Here is a 10,236-nt window from a genome sequence, read left to right as displayed (position 1 = left end):
AAAATAGAAAGTCTGAACAAAAAAGTAGAAGATATAAAGAAGGTCTCTCTGAGCCTACGCTGGCTTTGGAGGCTGCCTGATAAATAAATAAATAAATAGAAATAAAGAAAAATCAAATGGAAATTTTAAAACAGTAAAGTATAATAATCAAAATTTTAAAAACTCTATGAATGAGTTTAAAGGGAGAATGAAAAGGACAGAGGAAAGATTCAGTGAAGCTGAAGATTAAACAGTAGAAATTACAAACTATAAACAATAGAGAGGCTATAGACTAAAAAAAAAATAGAAAATCATCAGTGACCTAAAGGGCGATAGTATGAGGTTGAACATGCTTGTCATTGTAGTCACAGAAAAAGAGAATAAGAAGGATGGGACTGAAAAAGTATTCAAAGAAATAATGTACGAAAGTTCCTAAATTTGGCAAAAAACACAAACCTAAAGAATCTGGCCAAAATAGTATAAATAAAAAGAAATCCACACCCAGAAACATTCCAGTCAAACTCCTGAACAATAGAAAAAAAAATCATGAAAGCAACAAGAGACACGTAAGACCTTAACTATGTGGGAAAACAATTTAAATGATGGATAATCTTTTAGCAGAAAAAAAAGTAAAAAAAAAAACAGAAAGAAGAGGCACAACATTTTTCAAGCACTTATAGAAGATAACTGTTTATCCAAAAGCCTATATCCAGCAAGACTATCCTTCAGAAATAGAGGAATTCAAGACATTAGCAGATGCAGGAAAACTAGGAGCATTCGGCTCAGCAGATGGACACTAAAAGAATGGATAAAGAAAGTTATCTAAACAGATGGAGATAAACAAAGAAAGAACCTTAAAACAATCAAAAAGAAGGAAAGAACTCAATACGCAAAATGATTCTGTTAATACACAGATATTTATTCTCCTCTTGACTTTCTTAAATTATGTTTGAGAGTTGAAGCAAAAAATGTAACTCTCTGGATGTGGAGAAATAGGAACACTTTTACGGTGGGACTGTAAACTAGTTCAACCATTGCAGAAGACAGTGTGGCAATTCCTCAAGAATCTAGAACTAGAAATACCATTTGACCCAGCCATCCCATTGCTGGGTATATACCCAAAGGATTATAAATCATGCTGCTATAAAGACACATGCACACGTATGTTTATTACAGCACTATTCACAATAGCAAAGACTTGGAACCAACCTAAATGTTCATCAATGATAGACTGGATTAAGAAAATATGGCACATATACACCATGGAATACTATGCAGCCATAAAAAAGGATGAGTTCATGTCCTTTGTAGGGACATGGATGAAGCTGGAAACCATCATTCTCAGCAAACTATTGCAAGGACAAAAAACGAAACACCACATGTTCTCACTCATAGGTGGGAATTGAACAATGAGAACACCTGGACACAGGGTGGGGAACATCACACACCAGGAGCTGTTGTGAGGTGGAGGAGGGGGAAGGGATAGCATTAGGATATATACCTAATGTAAATAACGAGTTAATGGGTGCAGCACACCAACATGGCACATGTATACATATGTAACAAACCTGCACATTGTGCACATGTACCCTAGAACTTAAAGTATAATAAAAATAAATAAATAAATAAAATAAACCCAAAAAAAAGTAACACTCTCTGGCATGGTTCTAAATGTATGTAGAGAAAATGTTTAAGAAAATTACACTATAAATGGGAGATAATAAAGAAACATAAAAGGAGGTAAAGTTTGTATACTTCACTTAAACTGGTAAAATGATAACACCAGTAAGCTGTGGTAAGATGTGTGTGTGTGTGTGTGTGTGTGTGTGTGTGTGTAATGTAGTACCTTCGGCAACCATTTAGAAAGCTATGCAAATAGAGAAGCTCATAAACAGCATAAAAAGATTAAAATGCATTTATAAAAATTGTCCAAAAATCCCACAAGAAAGCAGGCAAGAGAAAACAGAAAAATTAAAAGCAGAGAAAACGAATATAATCCAAAAATAAAACTGGCAGCTTCAAGCCCTTATAAATCAATAACTAGATTAAGTAAGAATGGTCCAAATATACCAATTAAAAGACAAAGATTGGCAGAGTGGATTAAAATACAAACCCAACTACCTGCTGTGTGTTCTGTGTACAAAAAACTTAGTTTATATATAATATTAATAATATTGGTAGTTTGAAAGTAAAAGGATGGAAAGAGATATGTCATGCAAATACTAACCAAAGGAAAATAGAAGTGGCTATATTGACATTTGTAAGGTAAACTTCAGAGCAGACAATTACCAGAGATAGAAAGTAGCATTCTATAATAATAAATGGATTAATTCAACAAAAATCGTAACAGTCTTAAATATGTATGCACCAAACGACACAGCAGAAAATAGGCAAAATTAATAGAACTGAGAGAAGAAGTAAAGAAATTCACAAAGTTAGTTTGAGATTTCAACAGCCCTAACTCAATAACTAATAAAACTAGACAGAAAAGTAGCAAAGTTGCATAAAAACTCAGTATCATCAACCAACAGAATCTAATGAGCACTTATATAACACTCCAGTCAACCACAGAATACACATTCTTCTCAAATTCCCAGAGAACTAATGTTGAGGTCAAACATATTATGGACCATGAAACAAATCATGACAAATTTAAAATAATTAAAATCATACAGCATATGTTCTCTGATCACAATGTAATCAAACTACACATTAATAATATAATGATGACAGAAACATATCAAAACACTTGGAAACGGCATAATAAAATTTTAAATAATTCTTAGGTAAAAGAGGAAGTCTTATAAAATTTAAAAATATATTGAACTGAGTGAATATGAAAATAAAACATAATAAAATGTGTGAGACACAGTTTAAGCACTGCTAAGAGGGAAATATAGAGCCCTAAATTCAAACCTTAAAATAAAGGAAAAGTCTCAATTTTATAATCTAGCTCACACTTTTCAACTCAATAAAAAATGAGCAAATAAACCCAAAAGAAAACAGGAGAAAAAATGTAATAAAAATAATATATCAAATTAATGATATTGAAAGCAGTAAAAACATTTTAACAATTAATGAATTTAAAAAAAAATTTTTAAAAATAACAAAACCAACAAATCTCTAAGTCTGATTAAAAAGAGAGAAAAGATATAAGTTGCCAATATCTGGAATAACAAGGGCTATCATGTATGATTTTGCAGACCACAAAAGAATAATAAGGAATACTCAGAACTCTACACACATAAATTTAATAACTTGGATGAACTGGAGCAATTTCTAAAAACAAAAACTACCATAACTTACCCAATATAAAATAGATAATTTGAATGGTCCTAAAACTATTAAGGAAATTAAATTTAAAATTAAAATCTCTCAGAATAAAAATCTTCAAATTGAGATGGCTTTAATGGAGAACGCTAACACACATTACAGAAAAATTTACAATTCTACACAGTATCTTCCAAATAATAGAAGAGAATGATGTCAAAATTATTTTATGAAGCTGTACCTCTGAAAATAAATCCAGACAAAAATAACAACAACAAAAAAAGAAATTATAAGGCCAGGCACTGTGGCTCACGCCTGTAATCCCAGCACTTTGTGAGGCTGAGGTGGGTGGATCACCTGAAGTCAGGAGTTCAAGGCCAGCCTTGCCAACAGCCTGGAACAGAAAACCAAGTATCATATGTTCTCACTTATAAGTGGGAGCTAAACATTGAGTGACATAGGGACACAAAGACAAGAACAATAGACATCAGAGATTACTAGGGGGGAAGGTGGAAGAGTGGCAATCAGTTGAAAATTAACTCTCAGATATGGTGCTCACTACCTGGGTGATGGGATCATTCACACCAGATTCTGGTGACACATAATTTATCCATGTAACAAACCTGTGCATGTACCCCATGAACCTAAAATAAAAGTCTAAATAAATAAAAAAACAAATAGTTGGCACACACACAAAAATCCTGGCACCTCCCGTCTCTTGCTTCCTCTCTGAAAATGTAATCTCCACACATGCCAGCTCCCCTTTACCTTCCTGCATCAGCAGAAGCAGCCTGAGGCACTCGCCAAAGCAGATGTTGGTGCCATGCTTCTTGTACATCTGGCTGAACTGTGAGCAAAATAAACCTCTTTTCTTTGTAAATTATCCAGCCTCAGGTATTTCTCTGTAGCAACCCAAATGGACTAAGACATTTGCCTAAAGTCCAGATCTGCCAAAGTGAAAAACAATGACCTCTGGTTCCTTCCCCAAGTTTTCATTAACTGAACTCATATTGCAGGAAGAAAAACTGAAGTCTGTTGACACATTTGAACAGACTTGTCACAAACGGTTTTCTGCTTTGCCCGAAAGACTTTTTCTGAAGTCATTATGTATTCTTCAAGCCCACTGGATTCCCCTAAAAATTATTTATTACCTGCTGAAATTGTCCACACTCCCATATCTCTTTTCCTTAAGAAGGGTATATAAATATCTATACCCTATTACATTGTATAGTAATCACTCTGATTTTCCGCTCATGCACATTAACAAATATTAATGTCTTATTTCCTATTAATCTGCCTTTTGTCCATTGATTTTCAGTAAACCTTCATAAGGTAAAGGGTAAGTTTTCCTTTGGCTGCTGCATGCTCATTGTTTGCTAGTGAGAATACAAAATGTTACATCCACTTCAGAGGGCAGTTTGGAAGTTCCTTACAAAGATAATCACAGTCTTACCATAAGTTACAGTGATTGTGCTTCTCAGGTGTCTCATGGACAGAAGCCAATAGCTTGAAAACCTATGATAACACAAGTATTTATACTTGTTTTATTTATAAATGCCAGAAATGGGAAATAACCAAGATGTAATCCAGTAGATGAATGGATAAACAAACTATGGCACATTTATACAATGGAATATTATTCAGCAATGAAAATAAGTGAGCCATCAAGCCATGATAAAGCATGGAGGATCATTAAATGCATGTTGTTAAAGAAAAACAGTCTAAAATGTTATACAATATATGATCTCAACTTATATAACATTTTGAAAACTATGGAGACAGTAAAACTATCAATGGTCATCAGGGATTTGGTGGAAGGAAGTGAAGGAAGAATAGATGAAGCACAGGGCATTTTAAGGAGAATGATGAAACTGTATCATATGATGCTGTAATGGTGGATACCTGTAATTATTCATTTGTCAAAATTTATAGAATGTACAACACTAAAAACAAATTGCTGTAAATAATGAACTTCAGTTAATACTAATGTATCAATATTGCTCAATTTTAACAAAAGTACCACATTATTGAAATATGTTAGTAATGGGGGAAAGTACTATAAGAAAGAGTATATGAGAACTCTCTGTACTATCTGCTTTTTTCTTCGAACTGCTCCCAAAATTAAATATTATGAATTAAAATAAAATGCAAGTCACATTAGTTAGTTTGCATTCCTGAGAAGCAAAGAGTAAAATGTAGCAGAGTTTCAGGGTAAATCTTCCATGTGGTCAGAACTAGACTGCAGTAAAGAAGAATCAATACAATGCAAGAGAGGAGATGGGGGAGCTGGATTTCAAAGTAAAGATATTGAATACTTGTCAGGGGAGCTCTGTTACTTTGCTGATTTGTAGCAAAAGATAACATAAATGGAGAAGTCCTCCTTGTTTCAGATATTAACTAAAAGTTAATTAACTTCTCTGACTAGCTCATAAACAATGACCTACACCTAAGCAATTGATTTAAGGACTTGGAAGAAAAAACGACTATATATACTGTTGGTACAATTTATAGAAGACTTGGATGATAGTGAGCAAACTTAGAGGGTAGTATCATGTTCTCTATGAGGCCTTTTAAAAAAGTCACTTAAAGTGACTTAGGCTTCAGAGTAAAATACAAGGTTATGAATATAATGTATGTATTTTCTGCAAATGTTTCACCTCTAAAGATTTTTTAAATTATTATATTAGACACATAATTGTACATATTTATGGGGTACTGTGTGATATTTAGATACATGATTCCAATATGTAATGATCAAATTAGGATAATTAGCCTATCCATCACCTTGAACATTGATCTTTTTTTTTTGTTTTGAACATTCAAATTACTAAAGATCTTTTTTATTAACCCGTTTTAGCTTTGTCTAGCAAATGAATTGCATTTTAAATCAATGTCTATTATTGTCTAGTCATTTTTTTAAAAGCATGTACCTATATCATTCAGAACATTTAATTACTATGATATAGCTAACCGGGGTTTTCATATTAAATTGATAACATTTCTTTTCTAAAACATGAAAGATGCTATTTTATTTAACCCATGTAAGTTTATTGAGATTTTCCCCCAGGCTTTTAAAAACACTGACAATTTGTCCATAGAATTGCATTTACTTTATTGGATTTTGATGAAGATGAATGAATAGCAAGAAACTTTGCAAACAGTTTAACACAGTCACTGAAAGCAATAGGAATTTTATACGTTGAGAATTTTGCTGGCAACATCATCATTGGTGGTACCACCACCATCGTCCTCCTCCTTATCATCATCATTTGTTATTTTCCTTTAGTTGTGTTCCATGCACACCCAGACACAGAGCAAATTTCATATAACTACATACGTTGCTTTGTTTCTCCTGAAACAGTATCACCCTTCCTTTTACACTTAGTTGATGTGTACCATTTCAAGTCTAAGCTAACAGCCACCACCTTTGAAAGATGTAACTTTGATCATCCTGAATACTCCTAGAGCACTCCAAGTTTTTCTTTCTCATATATTTCAATTATTTAATTCAATAAATATGTGCGACTACTGTTAAGCTTTTTCTTGGTACTGAAACAACAGGGATACAATTATGATCATATATGTGCTTTTGAGAATTCATGGTCAGCATTAATCTCATGCACTTGAGTAATTTGTTGGTCTCCAAATTATCTGTTCTCCTAACTGGAATAAATGTTCAGTTTTAGACTAGAACATGGCTTTTAGTCCTTTAGCTCTCTCTCTCCCTCTTCTCCTGCATTTACTATTTAGTAGATCCTCAGAAATGCTTGCTTATTAACAGAGAAATGAAAGACATGCTATTGTCTTTCCTTTGTAAATGCACCTTCCCTTAAATAAAGAGAAAACACTGTGTCAGATCACCCTATGCGTCTCCCTTATGTATCTGTTCTAGAAAGTAATATCCTGTGTATCATCCTAGGATGAATGTTTTCCCTCAACACCTCACTAAAGAGGCATCTGCCATTTGTTTCTATTTCCTCTGTTTTTGCTATTATAAGAACAAACTATGGAGTCTGCATGAGATTTAGCAGGGTTTCCTTGTCCAACTTTTGATTGTGAAATGCAGTTTTCGTCTCCAGACTTGCCTTGTCTGATTTCCTCCTGTATATTTTCCTCTTGGCTTTTTAAATTAAAGTGCTAGTCCCTGGGGTTGTGTCTCGTGCCTGAAGCTGTCATCCTGTCCAAAGATAACAACACTGTATTTACCATTACAAAAAAAGAGAAAATAGCATTAGAATGAAATAATGTTTGACCTGTTAGTCTCTTTTCATTATAAAATAATAAACTTTAACCAATAGATTGTACCAGAGATTTTAGAGTTTTTAACCCATTTCCACATTTATGCTTTCAATTCACTTTGCAGGGGTTTCAAGAATAAAAGGACATTTTAATCAACACAAATAGATTAACTCTTGGTTAAAATGGAAGTTTCAGGCTGACCCAAAAAGGTATCTGCCTATGTTTGGATTTATATGTGTTAAGAGAAAGAGTTAAACAAATAAAAAACGTAAAAAGCAGACTACAAAAATGAATCTGTTTTATTTTTGAACTCTGTTTTATTAAAGCTCTAATATGTATAATTAAAGGGCATAGTTTATGAACTGTGACAATATATAGAAACTAATCATAATTGTAGACTCTCAGAGGGTAAAAATCTAAGTGAATACCTATTTATAGAAAATAAGATTCTATGAATTACATCTCTTTTTCTTAATTGGATGCAGAGTGTGCTATACATATTTAGAATTATTTCACTTGCAAACAAAGTACCAAATACATTTTTACATGTAGTCATTTGATATCTGCATGCTTCTTTTGTTTAATTTCATATTCTAAATATTCTGGATGCATAACTAGCCACATTGTCAAATGACAGGCTTAGAAGATGGAGCTATAATCTCTATTACACATTAGAATGATAATGTCTAAGGATGTATTTTACAATTGAGATAATAAAAGAATAGAGAGATATGAAGAACTCGGCTAATTAAGAAGAAAGAAAACTCATGGATGACTTCAAGGATATTAATCTGTCTTTCACAAACCAGGGAAATATTTAGAAAATAATACATTAACTTGTCTCTGAAATCACTCTCACCTCGTTATGTCTCAACTCTAATGAAGGTCAATATGGTGTGGTTAATTTTAATAATAGTCAGAGTACTGTGAACTTAGAATTCAGGATGACAAAATCAGGACTTGAGAATGAAACATTTTAGTATTGATGAGTATTAATTCGTATGCAGGGACAAAAAAAATCCTGGAATATTCTAGGCAAAGACAAATGGTTACACCAGGCTACTGTGCTAGCTAGCAAAAATAAAAGGTATCTCTACAATTAGCAATAAATTAGCATTGCCAGAAACTACCTACCATTATGCAAGTGAAGCCTCTTTAATGGGCACAATTTCAGTTGTTTGCCTCCACATATAATATCAAGCAAAAATACCTGGATATTATCATCATTGGCTAACAATAGGACTTCACAAAATATACAGCAAAAAGTGACCTTGATCATGAAGAGTAAGCAGTGTATGTTTATGTGTGTGTGTGTGTGTGTGTGTGTGTGTGTGTGTATGCATGTGTTCTATGACACCTGAGTTGGAGAAGAGTGAAAATTATTTCTCCAACCCTAATTAGTTAATTAAAAAATATGGAAACTCATAGCTATTTTCCCCAGTTTTACCAGAATAGAACCAGCCTTAAAGACGTTAGACCATTTAAGCTGACTAATTGAAACCTAACAATATCACAATCATGACTACCACTATATTGAATAATATGACTTATGCTACAGTTCTATATTTTCAGGGTGTAATGATGCTTCTGGTCATATGACACATTAGTCAACACAATGCTGTATCCCACAGAATTCTTTATTTCATAAGATCGTCATGTTGAAAGTGGCAGGTAAAAGGAAGCCATGAGATACCACAACTGAGCTGGTATTATAAACTTTGGCTTTGAAAGTAGAGACCAGGTTTTCAGTTCTGACTTTGCTTATTTATTTATTTATTTATTTATTTGATGGAGTCTCACTCTGTTGCCCAGGCTAGAACGCAGTGGTGCAATCTCGGCTCACTGCAACCTCCACCTGCAGGGTTCAAGCAATTCTCCCTGCCTCAGCCTCCTGAGTAGCTGGGATTATAGGCACTCACCACCACACCTGGCTAAGTTTTTTGCTTTTTTTTTTTAGTAGAGATGGGGTTTTGCCATGTTGGCGAGGCTGGTCGTGAACTCCTGTCCTCGGGTGATCCGCCTGCCTCGGCCTCCCAAAGTGCTGGGATTACAGGCATGAGACAATGTGCCTGGCCTCTGTTCTGACTTTGTTCCATGTTAGTCCTGTCAAGTTGGAAAATCTACTTAAATCTACCTTGGATATAGTAGTCCTTGTAAAATGGAGATAATAATAGCCATGCTCACAAAACTGTCTGAAGAATACTGAGATAAAGTACGTAGTGTATGGTATCTCTGGCCTGGTGAGTTTCCATACAACTTAGATAATATTATTTTATTACTACATGAATAGCCTGGGGAGTCCATGTCTATTCCTTGTACCCCTACTGTATTCTCCAAATGTATACACACATAAAAGGAATACAATGTAATATCAGTACTTCAAGAAACCAGTTAGCATGGCAATGTGGAGGAACTTCTGGCTTGGAATCAGCAGCCATGAATTTGAATCTTTGGTAGGTGTTCCTATGACATGTGTAGATCAAACTACTCTCATTCCAGCCTTCTCAGGTGCCCACCTTCAGCACCTAATCAGAACAAGCTCAAGGCAGCACATACAGCCTTATTCTTGACCTAATTCATATAAAATATGGGTTCCTCCTAATTGTATTTGTATTCATACCTTGATGTTGAGCATCTATCCTTGGAATGCTGCCAATCCATTTTCCGCTTACAAACAGTGCTGGTAATAATATCAGCAAATTAAGAGCTGATATTCTATATGGAAATAACCAGAAAAGAATCCTGGTC

The sequence above is a fragment of the Homo sapiens genome, chromosome 16, assembly GCF_000001405.40.
Source record: "Homo sapiens chromosome 16, GRCh38.p14 Primary Assembly".
Lineage (NCBI taxonomy): Eukaryota > Metazoa > Chordata > Mammalia > Primates > Hominidae > Homo > Homo sapiens.
The sequence above is the reverse complement of the archived record's forward strand: the minus strand, read 5'-3'. Positions refer to the sequence as shown.